Below are 18,597 nucleotides of genomic sequence, written 5' to 3'. Positions count from 1 at the left end.
CCTTCTCTTCACTGCTCTCTCTTTTGATTTGCCTTTAATGTGGATATTCTCCTATGAATGACTCTGAGGTTGAATGTCTGAGAGACCCTTTGCTGCTACAATGACACTATTGCTCTCATTGTCATTTCCTCATTGATCTTAACTTCTTGGTGTGATTTGTTTCTCTTCTTGGGCTAGAGAAGTTTGTTTCTCTTTAGGTTCCCCACTTTGCACTGGTCTGTATCAAACTTTCTGTTTCATTCAATTCAACAAATATTTGCTGATAATTGTGCCTGGTCCAATGTAGGATAAAAATGTAAGTAAGACTCTTTCTTTTTTAAAAAAACTTTAAAATTTGTGGGGAGACAGCCAAGTGTAGAGTAAGCCAAATATTGTAATAAGTTCTGCTGTACACACTTGAGAAGAATTAACTGAAGGTACACCCACATTCCCAAAAAGGCTCCCAGAACCTCTCCATTTTGCCTTTTTCCAATTTCCAAATTCCTACATCACTTATTTGAGGCTTAAATCAGCATTTTCCACAGTATATTCCTTGTAACACTAGGCCCAAGAGATGCTCTGTGAAAAAACAATTTCACGACCAATTAAGAATAGGAAATGTATACCCATTCTCTTGGAAATCCACAGTATGCATTGACACATCTGAGGTTTTCACCAGCAGAGAGGCTGGAGAAAATTTCTTTAACCCAGAATTTTCTGTTTTTATATCCTTGCACACCACTTTTTACATAATACCTTATAGGAAAAGTGATGTTTCTCAGGCCACACTCTTGGAAACATTGCCCTAATTGATTCATTAAATGATGAATATGATAATGTTATGAAAATCTTACATGTATGCATGTTTATCATCATATAAAACCTTTTATACCAGCTGGCTTTTTAAATACCCAGAATTGTGCTGCCCAATATGGTAGTAATGAGCCACATGTAACCTACTGAGCACTTGAAACACAGCTAGTCTCAGATGAGATGCACTGTAAGTATAAAATACACACCAGATTCAGAAGACAATATAAAAAAAGAATGTGAACTCTCTCACTAGTAATTTTTATACTGATTATATATTGAAACATAATATTTTGGATATATTTGGTCCAATAACATATTTTTTAAATTAACTTCACCTCTTTACTTTTTTAAAAAATGTGGCTACAGGAAAATTTAAAATTACGTATGTGGTTCACATTATCTTTCCATTGGCTGACACTGCCTTAGAAAATAGAAACTTTTTTCTATATTTGTATTTTTCTTTTCTTTCTTTCTTTCTTTCTTTTTTTTTTTTTTTTTTTTTTTTTTTGATGGAGTCTCACTCTGTTGCCAGGCTGGAGTGCAGTGGCATGATCTCGGATCACTGCAACCTCTAGCTCCCAGGTTCAAGCGATTCCCTCACCTCAGTCTTCTGAGTAGCTGGGACTACAGGTGTGCACCACCACCCCCAGCTAATTTTTGTATTCTTAGTAGAGACAGGTTTCACCATGCTGGCCAGGATGGTCTAGATCTCTTGACCTCGTGATCTGCCCACCTCTGCCTCCCAACGTGCTGGGATTATAGGTGTGAGCCACCGCGCTCAGCCCTATGTTTGTATTTTTCTATAGCACACGGAAAGACCATATACCTCATGAAAATATTTTCAACACTGTTGACTAAATTATTATGGTTGGGAAAGCCAGTGAGTTGAATCTAATTCTCCAAGGTGTTCACACTCTTACTCATTATTATACCCCATGTGTGGACTGTCCCTACTGTCCATTCACTACTTCAGCCTATAAATCATAGAGAACCACACTTGGTAATGCTGTGCTTCTACTGATGATCTAAGACCCCTTGTTATGTTCTTCTTAGCTCCCTGATTACAAATGCTAAAGAGCACTTGTAATTCCTATTTCAAAGCAATCATTACGCTGCCATTTCTGTGAATTTCAATAGTTTTGGGCACTCATAGACTGTAGAGTTATTCCCTGGCATTGAATCTAATTTGCCAAAGGCATCATCATTGTTTCTAATGACCTAAAATACCACTCGTTGGTGGGCAGGGGAAAAAAGCAGAAGTCAGAATCACTACTATTATCACATTTGCTTCAGAGGGAATCTTCCCAGATTTGAAGGTCCGTGTAACAGGCTCAGAAATAACTGATAGAGACAGTGTATTCAGTTACCGATAGGAATGAAACTTAAAATAGAATCACATGCTTTGATAAGTCATGCCATATTTGTGAAATCATTATGCCAGCACGTGGTATCTTGTAACCACCTGAATCTACAGCTACATGAACGGCTTTGAGTTGGCTGCATTTCACATGAGCTGCAGAGAAGGCTCTGGCGTAGTGAATTTCAGAGAGTAGTAAGAAGACAACCCCAATGGCAGCTGATATGAAAGTTGCAGTGAGAGGAAAATAAGCAGGATTGGGCAGCACTCTGTAAAGTATGAGTCCGGGCAAAAACACAGGGAACAACCCCATGGCAAATAAACTGCAGGTGCTTCCAATCAGGCAAAAGTGTGCTTGCTCCACTCACACTTGCCATCTGAGGAAAACTGCAATGAAAATGGATCTGATTTACTCATCTTTCACACAGAAGCATAGCATGTGCACAAGAAACCATACCGAATGTAACCATAAAAATGAGCTTTTATCTAAGAAGCTATAAAAAGGCATCAAAAAAGATGTGTGCTCATGACACTCAGAAGCTTATATTTGAATAAAAAAGCCTTCTTATTTTGTCAGTTTGGTTCAATAACATTTTTTGAGATTGTCTAGTTTATAAATGCCAAGGTATAAGGTACTGAGTGATTTTTTTCCTAAACAATAAACTCTGCTGACACCACCTTGTCTTTCGCGTAATAACTGCTACCCCCAACACTATTTTCTGACTTTTTATTGTAATCTTGTTCTAAACACATCAGTCTTTCTCTATTGCAATCTAACCACACATTGTTATTAGACTTAAACTTTGAAACACATTTCTGAACATATCTCCCCAATATTTTTAAAAATCAACGATTTACCATTGGCATTAAACAAAAGCCACACTTACTAGTCTGATTCTTCGGTTTACAATTTGGTTTCATCTACTAGCTTGGCCTTACCATCCATAATCAACTTTGTATACTCCACAGATGAGGCAATTTGGACAGCTTGCTTTGCTACTCTTGTGCTGCCAGGCTCAGCTTCCATCTCTGCACATCCAGCTCCTACTCAAAGTTCATGGTTCAAGTCAGTTCCACGGCTCTCTCAATAGCTAGAATTCTACAGCCTCTGCCCTCAGCATTTTTCTAAGAATTCTTCTACTGTTACCTCTATTAAGCACATACATGCGCATGCACAAACACACACACACAACACACCCATATACACACACTCGACTGTAGCAATTATTCTGCCTAAATCAAATCCTAGCTTTGCCCATTACTAGCTGTTTAACATGGGGCATTACTTAACCTCCCTGTGCCTTAGTTTCCTCAAGTATGAAAAGAAGGATAATCATAGGACTTACTTCTAAAGGCTTTTGTGGGGAATAAATGAGTTTCTGTAAAGTGCTGAGAACAGTGCTTGATGTACAGTTGGCCCTTTGTAAGTAATTCGGTGTTATCCATAGCAGCAGTCATAGTAAAGGTATTAGTGGTACTGTTGTTATTTTTTTATCCCTGGCAGTACTTTCATGTGATCTCATGTATTGCTCATGATCAACAAACATTTATAGAGTAAAGCAGTAAGTAAATGAGCATAAAGTAATACATTTTAAAATGAGAGTCAATGCACTAATTTGCTATTACTTTTAAAACCTGCTTTAAGAATGCTCTCTTAATAGTACCAGGACTTATTGGGTCCTCTCTAGAAAAAAAAAAAAAAAAAAGATTATTTTTAAGGAATAACTAAAGTAAAAACAAAGCTCTACGAACTGGAAACTTGTGGATTAGCTACTTTATGAAAGAACATTATTTTAGTGTGCAATTCTGGAGAAGCAAACATTGATCAACATTTATATTTGATATCCTTAACTTTAATAAACATACACAAAACAAAAATTGAGTTCAGTCCAGTAATGGCAACCAAATGGTGTTTTTTAACTTTCCAGATTGACTTTGTGCCCATTATTTCATTAAAGTTCTCTTGCTCTAATGAGCTAGACTTGTGGGAAAAGGTTTAAAAATAAAGCTGAAAAAAAAAAAGAAACTTTAGTGTGATCTAAAATTCGGTCTCATCTATTCTCTGTCAGCGTACGGTAGCACGGGGAACTGAAGAAACACTCTTCAGCCTTTGAAAATCAATGTGCATTTATAAGAGAGCTGCTGCCTTTCAGTCATAGCATTTTCCCTGCTGTCTTATAAGTATGTCCTGCACTAAATTTTACATGTCCCCAGACTCCTATTTAATTCTCACAGCTGGGAGACAGGACTAAGTCCAGCCAAATCTGTTTTCCTAGAGTGCCTACAAATCTGCCCTTTAATAATTTATTTTCTCTACTATAATGGTCTCTAACTAAGCTCTAATAGATTTTGCCACACAGTTGCTGCTTTAATCAGAGAAGAGAGTTTTATGGGTTTATTAATCATGCTCTTTTTCAAAAGCTGCTGATTAAGCATTTGCCTGACAGTTGCAAGCAGTCAGAAGGTACAATGGAGGCTGTTTGCTTACTGAGTAGCAGCCTGCAGGTAGCTTTCTCATAGGGCCCACAACAGACTGCATACAGCTAGTGCCAACTGAGCAGACTGAAGTTTCAATTCCCCCCAGCTCCCAGCAGCAGATTGTTCTCAGCAATCTTCTCCCCACCATTTTATTCACCAGGACTATTCCAGCAGCCAATAGCAAAATTCCTTCCTGCTCTCCACATCCCAAAGCAGCTAAATTATTTCTGAAAACTGAATGACATGCTTGGCAAAGAATGTATTCCACCCTGAGGCGCTACTTACAACAAGGTTTTCTTTGGCCTCCTCAAGCAGCAGACCCACTAAACACCATCTCCCCCCGGCCTTCTAGGAAAGCGGCAACCTAAGCCACATAGTCCCTTTATGTGTTATAGTCAAGGCACCAACTAACAGCCAAACAACACAGCAAGGCTTCCTGGATTCAAGAAAACCCCTATTTCTCCAAGGCCAATTTACAGCACACTCATAGGAACACACATTCACACCAAACACCAACCAAGCTTGAGGTTTTGTTAGAAGTCAAGATACCGGTAATAAGCAGCAAGTTGTGTTTTTGAAAGAAAAATTAACTATTGAATGTTTTTACACTGAAGATAAATGTTTTCTTCAAAATGCATAACTGTCTGGAAGTCCTTCATATTTCTTAGATATGTGTGTAAATTTCCCTATTCCCTTAGTGGTTATTACCAAGTAGAGAAGAGTGAAAATATCCTTGAGGTGAATTTAGTAATGATTGGTCCATGACTTATCTAAACTTTTCTACATTTGGTTCCAGAGCAAACATTTAAAGCAGTACTTCATATTCTCAACCTAGCATAACTGTGTTAGATGTACTTCTCCTTTGACTTAAAATGATCAGATTTCTAAAATTAAATTTTTGCTGGAGTTATCAACATTATGTGATGTATCTGTAAACACTAGAAAATGAGCAGTTCTTTGTTTCAATATGGGTTTTCATATAATGAAAGGTGATTTAAAATGATAGTAATTAAACTATGGAAAGAATAAAGCAAAAATATTTTAAAACTATCTTATGTTTCTTCAAAATCAAGCTTTTAACTCTACACAAAGATTTCCTGGGTTAGTATTACAGATACCTGTGTAGATATTTCATCATCATGTCTATTAAAAGTCTGGGGTCTTACATGTTTCTATTTGTATCTCCTATTTTGAAAGAATTAATGGACAAATAAAACAGGAGACTTTAGTATGGTACTTTATACACTGTAGTATACTAAGCAAGAAAATCATAATATTGAAAACTAATGGTGCTCACTTCACCAACACATATACTAAAATTGGAATGATACAGAGAAGATTAACATGGCCCCTGTGTAAGGATGACATGCAACAAATTCACGAAGCGTTCCATATTTTTAAAACAGAAAATTTAGCCTGGCATGGTGGAACAAGCCTGTAGTCCCAGCTTCTCAGGAGGCTGAGGCAAGAGGATCACCTGAGCCCTGAAGGCCGAGGCTGCAGTGAATGGTGAAAGCACCACTGCACTCCATCCTGGGCAATGGAGTGAGCCCACATCTCAAAACAGAAAAACAAAAAACAAACAACTAATGAGAGAAAGGGATGTTTTTAAAAACAGATCATTTTAGTTCTAATGAATTTATAAAAATTAAAAACTTATTTTACGAGACATTAGAAAGTCCCAATACACACATTTGAATTCATTTCTATCCTTCACATCATATTACATTTTTAAATAAGCAATGACACATACTGAGCTTTAAAGCTTGACAGATTTAACAGAAAAACCAAAACCCCAAACCATACAGCTGGTAAATGAAATAATCATCCGTTAGTCTTGATATGTGGAGATCATATATGCTCTGCTTCAATCACCTGAAAAAAATGGTAAAATAAATCTATACTTCAGTCCATTTTAATTAAATTATATTTAATCAGCATTATCCAGGTAGTGCCATGAACAGTTTTTACTGCTATCATTTCAAAATATATTATAGGCCGGGTACAGTGGCTTGTGCTAGTAATCCCAGCACTTTGGGAGGCCAAGGCAGGTGGATCACCTGAGGTCAGGAGTTCAAGACCAGCCTGGCCAACAGGGTGAAACCCTGTCTCTACTAAAATAAATACAAAAATTAGCTGGGCATGGTGGCAGGCACCTGTAGTCCCAGCTACTTGGGAGGCTGAGGCAGGAGAATTGCTTGAACCTGGGAGGCAGAGGTTGCAGTAAGCCGAGATAGACCACTGCACTATAGCCTGGGCAACAGAGCAAGATTCTGTCTCAAAAAAAAAAAAAAAAAATATATATATATATATATATATATATAGAGAGAGAGAGAGAGAGAGAGAGAGAGCTTGCTCATCCATGTTAATAGAGGCCATGACTGTACAGATAAATGAAGTCCACAGATATTAATTTCTAACTCTTACTTCATTATATACATATAAGAAAATACTTCTGATTTATTTCTGAGATTTTCTATTAGGCATGTCTTAATCTTACACCTGAGTTTTATAGGAGATATAAAGTAGTAGAAATTTGACATAAATCAGAAATAGGATTAAATCTTAACTACAACTAACCCTGGGCAAGTTACTAGCCTTTTAAAACTTCAAGTTCCTCCTCTGTAGAGTTAACAACACTTACATAGTGGGGTTATTGAAAGGCTCTGCACCTACTAACACATAGTAGTTGCTCAGAAATGGCAACTTCTCTCTATTTTCCTACTTTTCCTCTGCCCTTCATTTGCTTCTGGCCCACTCTTTAGAATCTTGGAGCATATCATGCCATTGCTGAAATTTTCAGATGATCCATGAGAAGAAGCAATTAAAGAAGAAATTGAATTAATGTGATTTTGATTTTATTAGTTGAAGCGACCCAGTAGGAACTTTGACACAAAAGAAAGCAAAACTTTTATATCTACCAAACAAGCCTAAAAGGTATTAGGGTACTATAAATGGTTTATTTTTTCAACTAAAGTAACCCAGATTGTTCAAATTTTCCATCATTTAGCTTGGTATCTTTAATAAATGTTGGCCAGTCTAACAGCACTCACATTTCACTTTTGGTTTCTTCTCTTTTAATTTTTTCATCAAACATTTGTTCATATGCATTGTAAAAACAAATAGAAATTAACCATAGCAATAGCTAAAATATAAACCACAAATTTGACTGAGTCAGCGGAGGTTTTTCTGGGTAACCCCAAAATTCCATGTCTCTGCGTATTTCAGTCCCTTTGTCAACTTATTACATGATAAATGAAACAGATCAGAAGAACAGAGTAAAAGTTAATCCATCTTAAGAGTTCTATATGCTCTTGGTCAGATCCTCGATCCAAAAGGAAACCTGATCTAGGTTTTGAAAGCACTGTGGTGTCCCAGAATGATTTTACTTGATCAAGTTCCCAGAAAATACATGGTTGATCCTGATGACAAATTGTCAGAAAGTCAGTGGGGAAGTGCTCTGCTTCTCCTCAACAGAAAACATAAAAATCATATCTATTTTGTCTGTCTTAAAATTTTGATATAAGAGTCTTCTCTTTGTCATCGGGTGTGAATATTTATTATTTATTTTACAGTATGTGTTTTGTATTCAAGTGAGGAAATGAATAAAAGATAGTTTTCTCTGGAAATTTTCTCTATCCTTTCATTCTTTGTGTATTCTCTTGACTTCTAAATAACTATTGGTCTGCTTTACCCCTCAAAGCCTGACCTGCAGTTATTTAAGTTTGAACATAATGTGCCAAACATTTTGTTCACCATATTAAGCTATGTGTCGGGTACAAAGAATAACTTAAGGTTAGCTCTGGTACTCGAGGGATGTCCTGCTTGATTCTAGAGAGCACAGACCCAAAGCAGCATGTACACTCATGCATATCATCCATCCTATAGGTTGTATATTTCTTCCAAAATATTTGGAACCAGAAGTGTTTTGGACTTCAGATGTTTTTAGATTTTGGAATATCTGCAGTAAATATTTACCAGTTGAGCAGCCCTAATCCAAGAATCTGAAATCCAAAACGCTCCAATGAGCATTCTTTTGAACCTCATGTCAGTACTCAAAAAGTTTTGAATTTTGTAGCAGTTCAGATCTTGGATTTCCAGATTAGGGATACCCGAACTCTATATGCATACATGACTTGTAGGAAAGGATGAGGGGAAATGGTGAAAGAATAAGATGACCCAAGAAAGAGCCAATTATACTTAGGAAATGGCCAGTGGACATGGTAGTTAATAGTTGCAGATTCAAATATAATGGCAAAGCTTCACAGATTTCCCCTCTCCAATTTCATTACTTTCTGCTTCTGGGTCTCTAATTTACTCATAATGCCAGAAATGGGATCACTGCACAAGATATTTTCAATGTATTTTTAAGGCCTACTTATATCACTTATCATCAAGGAAGTGTTTTGGTTTCCTGCCACCTAGACAAGAGATCAAACAACACTTTGATTAAAATGAAATATTTATTGTGGACCTAACTGTAGTGCCAGTTTGTTGGTAAGCCAGGGAAATAACGTTGAAGGAAAGTTCAAAAACTGAATTGTTCAAATAATAGCATTTCCTTTTTTTCTTTCTACCATCTTTCTCAATTTCTGTGATGAGCTCGCCAATTAAAAATACATTTTGATCAAGGTCTGAAACTGATATACTTCTCAGAGTTCTGGACCCAAAACTATGAAAAAGAACCACAGAGGCATGCAACCAATAACCACCCAAATTTGAGTGAATTAGAACTTTTCCGTTTTGCCACACTAGTCTGAAAGCCACAGGCATTCCACCACCCCAGAAGGATCTGGAGAACTGATGGAGAGAATAAAAAATGAACGCAGATTGTACATAATTGTGTTGTTGTATTCTTATTTCAACAGCCATAGAAAGAACCCCAAGTTTCAATTCAAAGGCCTCCCTAGCAAAAATAATATTCTTCTCCTCAGCCTGTCTTGTACTGGTCCTTCGAAATCATCTCATATGTCACTTCCTCCAAGAAGCCTCCTCTAATATGCTTAATTGCAGACTGCAGGGTGTAGGCTTATGGTATCCTTTGCTCACCAGGGCATGAATTTCCCTATAAATCTGCAAACTATTTGTTAAACTCTAAAAACGTTGCCCTTTTCTATGCTCGGTGTTTTTCGAAGAGTTTGGATTGCGGTTTATATTCTAAAAGGTGGCAAAAAGCATGAATCAAACAGTTCTTTTACTTTTTTCCCCCAAGCACCTATCCTCTAATATTTTGGAACATTTTCCTCATTCCATTAATTCTCTATTTTGCTATAACCACATGGCCTTTACCTCCCAGTAACCTTGGCATTTATAGGCTAAAGGAACAATACTATAACAGCCAAGACTGGCCAGACAGGCTTTAAAACTCAGCACTGACTCTGGGATGGGGAAAATCTGATTTGTATGCGTGCGACTTTTGTAAAATAATTTGTAACTTAACTTAGATGACTTCACTAGGATTTAATAAAATCCTGTCATCACATTCAGGTTTCAGATTTTATGTGTTTGCTAAATGTGGTAGAATAATCCAGAGCTGCTTTCATTTCTTCAGTTTGAGAGACTGTATTATTTGAAAGAGAAGTTTTTGACGGTCAAAAAAGGAATATATTTCTCTGATACTGGAAAATAAAAGTAGATAAAATAAAAGTATTTTCTTAAAAATTATTTCTTTCTTTATTTTCTAGTTTTCCTGAGTCTAGGAAAACATTGCCTCTCTAATTTTACTAAAGTTAGAATTGAAATTAGTTCCTGAAAATAATATTTGGGATTAGGGGCAGTTTAATGTCTGGAACACACAGGTCTGGAAGTGAGAAAATCTTGGTCTTATCCACCTTAAAATATTCAGACATATCTTTTTAAAAACTAAATCGGATTATGCCATGCCTGTTCTCAAAATCACCCTGTCCTCCTGACCCCTGTCCAATAAAATCTAGTCTTTTTTTTTTTTTTTTTTTTGATACAGAGTCTCGCTCTGTCACCTAGGCTGGAGTACAGTGGCGCGATCTCGGCTCACTGCAACCTCCCCGCTCTACTCACTGTTTCTCAAATCACCAGCATGTGCACACCCCAGGGCTTTTGCACTCACTGTTGTTCTGCTTAGGATGTGCCTGTACCAGATAGCTGAAAGGCTTCTCTTCTCACTTCATTCAGGTCTCTGCACAAATGTCACCTCATCAAATGGGCTTTTCTCATCACTATTACAATAGTGTCCCTTCTCATTCTCTGACTTTTTATCTTGTTTAATTTTTCTTCAGAGCACTTATCATTATGTGGCCTATTATATATTTACTTGTTAAAATTCTTTAACTGTTTCTTCAACCCTAATGTAAATTTCACAAAAGCAGAGATTTTTGTCTCTTTTTGTTTGCTGCCTAGTTCTTGTTCACTGTTGTTGCCTGGTGTCTATAATAGTACCTGATGCTCAGTAGGCACTCAGGAAATACTTGTTGCAAGTATTTATATCTGTCAAATGAATAAATAAATCTTTGCATCTATTTCCTAAATGGATGCAGAGTTAAGATGATAAAATAGGCAATAAATACAAATTTTATATATATATATATATATATATATATATATATATATAAAACCTCATAAGAAAGTAAAATAAGAATATGGCTAGAACACTTTCATTTCTTTTCCAAAAATTGTGGTGACTTTAAAAATCACCTATGGGCAAACTCATTATTTTTCATAAATTGAGAGGCATCATGGTTAAATTAATTTTTTTAACAAACCTTCTGTTACGGTTTGGCTCTGTCCCCCCACCCAAATCTCATGTTGAATTGTAATACCCAGTGTTGGGGGAGGGACCTGGTGACCTGGTGGGAGAGGAGTGTATCATGGGGGTGGATTTCCCCCTTGCTGTTCTCATGATAGTGGGTTCTCATGAGAACTGATGTGTGGCACTTCCTCCTTCACTCTTTCTCTCTCCTGTTGCCATGTGAAGATGTGCTTGCTTTCCCTTCTCCTTCTGCCATGATTGTAACTACGTTTAGGCTTTCCAGCCGTGTTTCCTGTACAGCCTGCAGAACTGTCAGTCAATTAAACCTCTTTTTTTCATAGATTACCCAGTTTCAGGTAGTTCTTTATAGCAGTGTGAGAATGGATTAATACACCTTCATTGATTTTACAGGACTTTTTCATACTGGCTTCAAAGTATCCTTCATCTTCATAAATGAAGAAAGCTATCTTGGAGCAAGGAAAATGTCGGAAGTAAAGGTAGAATGGAACACCATTATGTGATAATATGTCTGAAGGACCCAGAAATGCCCAGATCCTGCTATAAGGCATAGTCACTACTCTGCTAGTTAGCAGCTTCTGAGATAATCAGACAAAGGATGACGACAAATGGGAAGCAAGGTTACTGTTGCCCAGGCTTTGCCTCAATTTTCTTTAGTAGTAAACCTGGCAGAGTCTAATACTCATGTGCAAGGAGCATTACCTCCCTCACCCAAGCTTAGATCCTAGTCTTCTCTTCTCTCTACACCTTCTTGCCAATGACATAATGGCGTATCTGAGCCTCAATCACACTTGAGATGAGAAGGATTTTTCTGTCCCCATCTTAACTCTATTTCTCAGCTACATTCCCATATTTTACCACTACTCCCATTCCTTCTTGGCTTTGCCATGCCACACTCTCCTGATTTTCTCTCTTTGTCCTTACCCCTCCATTTAAGTTTCCTTTTCTGATTCTCCCCTTTCCCCATCTCTAAATGTTATGATCCTCAAGGCTCAGTTTTGGAATCTTTTAGTTTTTCTCCTCACAATCTCTCTCTAGGATGTGTCATTCATTCCTACAAATGTATTTATTTTTAATGTTTTATTTGTAGAAAAGTTCAAACAAAACAAGATTAAATTTAGATTAACTGACTACAATAAACCATAACTGAATTGTACATTTTAAAATAAAGAGTGTAATTTTGTTGTTTGTGATGCAAAGGATAAATGCTTGAAGGGACAGATACCCCATTCTCTATCATGTGCTTATTTCACATTGCATGGCTATATCAAAACATCTCATGTACTCCATATATGTATATATACCTACTATGTACCCATAGAATAAAAAAATAATAAATTTGGATTGAACATCCATATTCAACAATTATCAACATATGGTCAATCGTATTTTATCTAAACTTCTACTCCCTGATTTCTTCTCACTGGGTTATTGTAAAGTCATTACCAGATATTGTATCATTTCACCTATAAATGCTTCGATATATATTTCTAAAAGACAAACACTATTTTATATAACTAAAATACCAATCAAATTTAGAAAAAATTAATAGTTACTTAATAGAAGCAAGTATCCAGTGTTTAAATTACTCTTATTGTTTATGTTTTTAAACAGTTGGTTTGTTTGAATCATGAGCCTAACAAAACATGAACATTACATTTATTTAGGAAGTCCTGTGAACTTCCTCATTGCATCATATCAAGAGGCACATAATGTCTAGTTGCATCATCTGTAAAATAAAATAAAGTCTATGTTTTCCAACTTTATGGCCACATTGTAAAATGGGGTGAGTGGGCAATAGGGCCTGAAAAGCCAGCTCATCTCTTTGTCCCTGCTGGTTAGTAGAGATTTTATAATTCTGGGTTGCAAAACTATACTTTGTTTTGCTTCTCAACTCTTCTATAACCTGCAAGTAATTTACTCTGTTAAATTAAAGCTGTTTGAAAGACCTAGAGTGTTTACTGCTCTTGTGTGTTTACTGCTCTTGGCTAAACTGCTTGATGCAGACAAGATCACAAGTTTAATTTTGGAGATTATGAGGCTGAGGTGCCCTTAGATCCAATGAACACAAAACCTAACACTCCTGCCATCACCTACAAAGCACATGTGATCTATCCCCATCTACCTGTCCATCCTCTTCATATATCACCCTCTCCCTTATTCAACCACGCTTACCACACTGGTCTTTCTGTTTTGTTTTTGTTTTTGTTTTCAAAAGTGCTAAGCTCTTTCTTGCCACAAACCTTTGAAACAGCAGTTTTCTATACTTGGGATTTTCTTACTGCAGCCTTTCTCAAAACTGGCTTCCTCTTGGTTGAAATACACCCTTCGCAGTGAGATGTCCTCTGACAATCCTACCGACCTACTGGGCTCCTTACCATTGTCCATTATAGCAGCCTGCTCTTTTCATTTACAGCACTTAGCATAATCTGTAATTATTATATTATTTTGGATCCTTATTTAATGTCTAGATCATAAAATATATTATAAACTCCACAAGAGCAGGAGAGAAAAATCATGTCTACTTTGATGGCCTTTATATTCTTGTGGGTACCCACTGTACCCCAGAAAATTGCATCTAGAATGAATGAATGAATGTGCTCCAGAGCCCAGGGGCAGGCCCAGGTTTGGCCAGTTTATAGCCTATGCTGCAGGGAAGCAGGAAGTATCAGAGTAGACCACACTAATGTGCAGACTCTTCTGAAGTACGATGACCCAGCACAATGGATATATGTTTAAACAAATATCCTGGATTTTGACCCTCTTGAGAAACTGGGTCAAGAATTTTTTTTCTCCTCTAGAAAAGACAAGATAAATTTAACCAACTTGAAATATTGGGTAAGAAATCCAGCTATTGATTGCTTGATGAAACCAGAACCACTAGACTGCTAAGCATGTAAGATAATTTTAAGATAAAAATATTTAAAGCAAATTTACAGGATGCATAATTTTTTTATTTTTTAGGGTCTCACAAAAGACTTTCTTCAATAAACTGCAGGTATCTATAACATTTGATATTTGATTTTGATAATCTTGGTAGATGTGTGTATAGTGCCCTATGTGTTGGAAATCTTGTAAGGAATATGTATTATGCTGGTGTTCAGCTTTCTAGGCACCAGGAAATTAAAAAATTATATTGGCCCAAGGACAGCTTTTTCATAGATGCATAAAATATCTGGAATTTCAAATAGAGCTATGAGGACTCATTTTATAATAACAGATAAGTGCTAGTGTCCCACACACAACATTCAAATATTATTTAATAAAATTTTAAAGTTATGGAGAAAGCAGCTTTCTATAAATTCCCATGCATACAATGTTTAGGTAATTTGCAAGTATTGAAGTAAAATTTGAAACATATTTTACCAAAGACAGAGAAGGAATAAAGGGCTGTGATAAAAGTATGGACAAGATTTGCAAGTTTGTCTCCCTATCTGCTCAAAAGTATGAATAACAAGGTCTTGGATACAGAATAGTTTTGGGAAGAGAAGCAAATTAAAGCAGATAAAACTAAATACCTTTTTTCTTAGTCCATTTTTAAAATGTCTTTATGCAAGAATAGCCAGTGGAAAAAAATTATTATAATAGTATTATATCCAGTTTGTTGGATGTAACTCTCAATACTTTAAAACACGATATATGACTAATCAGTTGTTTGCAAAACATTTAAAATGCCCATGTCAGATTACAACCTGACCACTGAAATCTTCCCAGCACGTTGCTTCCTTTCTTCTCACTGGAATGAGACTTATGGATTGTTTAAGCAGAGAATCGCAGTTAGCAGCAGCATGCTGTGCATCTAAAAATCCATCAGGAAACTGTGATCACTGGACTCATATCTGCAGTAGCAATTCATTCCTAAGAACCCCCAGTAGATGCAAAGTTTGCCTACGTTCACGGAGTGTAGTTGCTTGCTGAGTTTTGCATTCCCGAATTATAGTGCTTTGTAGAGATGGGGAATGAAGGCAGAAAGCAGTCATGTTGAACATTGTCTTTCTCCATCCACTTTATACTAAAACCTCCAGAATTACTTATTGATTCCACAGCTTAAAATTATGTCCTTAATTATTACTAATAAAACAACAATTTTTGATGCCTTATAGGCATCAAGTTTTGTATATTGTGCATTTATTTATCCTATCTCCTGTGATTTAATAGAGATTTTAGAATTAAAATGTAAACTTGTTTGGGGTAAAAATAGATACTTTGAAATAATTCTACAATGCATGTCTTTCTATGCTATTTGTCATAGTCATTTATGAAATATATAGGTATATTTACTAAAGAATAAGTGAGTGGACTGTTTATTGCATCTTTTGCCATCTCTGTATAGAGATACAGCATTTGCTATAATTTCAGTCTAGTGAATATTTATATTTGTCTGTGCCACTTAAAAATTTCCAGGAACCTTCTACTGTTCTTCACACACAGAACTGATGCTATTAACCTGGAGAATTTGATTCTGCTTTGGGTCTCAGGAGTGGTGATAGGATAGTACTGAGCCATACATCTGCTTGCTCCCATTGTGAGATCATTTCTGATAAACAGCATCCATGTCTGAAAGGTTTTGCTGAAAGCTGGTGTGTGATTTTAACCATAGAAAAGAGTGAGGTTAGTCTCTTCATAAAGAAATCACTGTGTCTGCTTCACTCTTCATTTAACCATAGGAATTAAATGGTTCCAGACATAGCAACAATTATTTTTATGCTTTCAAGTATATAGTCAATCCAATATTGAATATTGTTCCCTTCTCTAGGTTTGATCAAATTTACCTTGTTAAAGACACTCAATTGTTTTAAAGAGCAAAAGTAACCTATTTATTCTACTATTTTCTCATTAATTTTCCATCAGTGAGAACTAAGCACACTTCTGCATCTATTTTACAATGATTTTTTTTGTTCACTCACCTCCAGTTCTTACTCTATTTTTATTGCCAGAATTTGATTAAGGCAATTGTTAAGTGTACACAGAGTATAACTCAGAAAATAGTCAGAATTATCTTTAATATTGTTAAAGTTGGAAGAAATAGAAAACTCACTCACTAGTTTTCTGTAGGAAATAAAATGCAAAATTTCTTAAGAGGAAAAATGGGTTCCTTCTAAAGTTTAGCAAGAAAGATTAAACACTACATGGCTTTTGATAGGTGTGGTGAAACTCAGAAATAATTAAAAGCAGCTTTAGGGTTAAATTAAAGTAGCAATATGTTTTATTTCTCATTTATCTGAAATGAAACAAAAATCTCAACTACATTACTCTTGTAACTGTTCACAAAAACTGTTGGTTTGCCCTCAGATTTTTCAGCAACTTAAGACACTCTTTTCCCCTTTTTATTAGAGGAATCACTTAAATAGTAGAAAAAAATGGCTAAATCAAAACTCCCACATCCACTTAAAAAATACAACTGTGGTTCTTCTTCCTTCCTTTTGAAAGAAAAGAATCACACAAAATACATTTTTTTTTTTTTGAGACAGAGTCTCGCTCTGTCACCCAGGCTGCAGTGCAGTGGCGCGAATATTGGCTCACTGCAACCTCCGTCCCCTGGGTTCAAGCAATTCTCCTGCCTCAGCCTCCTGAGTAGCTGGGATTACAGGCATGTGCCACCATGACTGGCTAATTTTTGTATTTTCAGTAGAAACAGGGTTTCACTATGTTGGCCAGGCTGGTCTTGAATTCCTGGCCTGAAGTAATCTGCCCACCTCAGCCTTGCAAAGTGAAGAAATAATTTTTAAAGAAGTATGGAAAACAGTCGTTCTCTACCCCCAAGTGAATTGTATGAATCTTTAATCATCAACAGTCTAATACTTTTCCAGTTACCAGAACTTAAACTAATTCTGTGCTTTATTCTCAGTTTATATTATAAACCAGCATTGAAAGCAAAATTGAAATCCTGAAAATTAAAATACATAGAAAACTAATATCATTATGTTCTTCTATTCATATCCAGTCCCCACTAACATCTGAGGTATTTCACATAATCTAAACATTTATTTGAACAGTTTGCTATAGCTATTCATCCACTTACCCACTGCTTATTACCTGGTCTATTAGATCTGTGAGAGAACATGGAAACAAAATCTGTACCTTAAGGAATTTACAGAAGACTGTCAGTCATCTAAAATACTCTGTGGACATCTGGAATTTCTGAGAGCATATACTGTCCTCCTCTCTTTCTTTGGGATACCCTTGAGGTCAAGGGTCCTTTATATTCTCAAACCTATGTTCAAGTTAATATTAAACAAATATCTCTTGGCTGACAACTGTCACCAACTCTAGATTTCAAATGTTTTGAAAACTTTGAAGCAAATATTACTTAAAATTTGAATTTTTATTGCCATATGTCATTTTATTTCCTGGTGACAGTTGTGAAAAAGGATTTCTAAACTGAGTGGAAGCTTTACATCTTCAGGGATAAAGCCCATTGGGTTGTCATAAGCCCAATGATTTCTAGGCTCAAAGAGTTTAGATAAGCACTCAGCACTTGGGGAAAGCTTGTAGGTTCTACAGCACATAATTACTATGAATTATCTAACTATTAATAACTGCAGTTTCTTGGATGATTCATACATTTTTGCAAGGCTTTGTAAACAAAACTGAGTTTTTTTTTTCTTTGAAAAGACAAAGATAGGAACTCAGGATAATAAATAGGAATAAGTTTTTGAAGAAAAAAATGCTAGCATAAAGGGGAGTGAGGAAAAAAAGGAGGAAACTAATATTTCAGACACCTTCCATGTACCAGGCACAGTGGTCCTCAAGCTACATAGAAGCTTGTCTTATCTAATTAATGTTCGCAATGACACAGTGAAGTAGGCAGTATGATCTCCATCACAGAGACAAGGTAAGCAACTTGCCCAAAGTAATCCCAATAGCAAGCGGAGGACTAGAATCTAAACCCAGACTGGGTAGCTGACTATAGAACTTACAATCTGACCAGCATTATTCCTCTGTGGCATGTCATTTCAAGCTACACTGAACATCAGTTAAAATAGAAGTCTCAGCCTTAGAAACATAATGACATTCAATAACTACAGAACAAATAATAACAAGGAGAAATGAAAAGGGGATAGGAGGGAGAGAAAAAGGGAGGGAGGAAGAGAGGGAGGCAAAGAAGGAGGAAAGAAAGGAAGAAATAAAGAAAGAAAGGGAAGAAAAGAAGGAAGGAAGGGAAGGAATGAAAGGAAGGAAGGCAGGCAGGCAGGTTGCTGAAATGCCACATCACTCCTACTATTAC

At 36.3% G+C, this 18,597-nt stretch overlaps 1 protein-coding gene, 1 long non-coding RNA gene and 1 pseudogene across 6 annotated transcripts in view, besides 1 other annotated feature; 2 read left to right on the top strand and 1 right to left on the bottom strand.

The window, feature by feature from the left end:
* CPED1 (cadherin like and PC-esterase domain containing 1) overlaps positions 1-18,597 on the bottom strand; it is a 308,732-nt gene that overhangs the window by 96,469 nt on the left and 193,666 nt on the right. The gene's annotated exons all lie outside the window — the stretch shown is intronic.
* LOC124901735 (uncharacterized) overlaps positions 1-18,597 on the top strand; it is a 122,886-nt gene that overhangs the window by 65,776 nt on the left and 38,513 nt on the right. Inside the window, exon 2 of the long non-coding RNA XR_007060494.1 lies at positions 14,334-14,367. This is a non-coding gene — a long non-coding RNA (uncharacterized LOC124901735). The remainder of the gene's footprint in view (positions 1-14,333; positions 14,368-18,597) is intronic.
* Positions 5,917-6,026, top strand: RNU6-517P (RNA, U6 small nuclear 517, pseudogene; annotated as a pseudogene).
* Positions 13,510-13,579: an enhancer, noted in NCBI's record as "active region_26560". NCBI's record gives its function as "activates an Ori minimal core promoter by ATAC-STARR-seq in GM12878 lymphoblastoid cells {active_cell/tissue: GM12878}" and the evidence as "EXISTENCE:reporter gene assay evidence [ECO:0000049][PMID:35858748]".

This window comes from Homo sapiens, chromosome 7 (assembly GCF_000001405.40).
Source record: "Homo sapiens chromosome 7, GRCh38.p14 Primary Assembly".
In the NCBI taxonomy this organism is placed as follows: domain Eukaryota; kingdom Metazoa; phylum Chordata; class Mammalia; order Primates; family Hominidae; genus Homo; species Homo sapiens.
The sequence above is the reverse complement of the archived record's forward strand: the minus strand, read 5'-3'. Positions and strand labels throughout refer to the sequence as shown.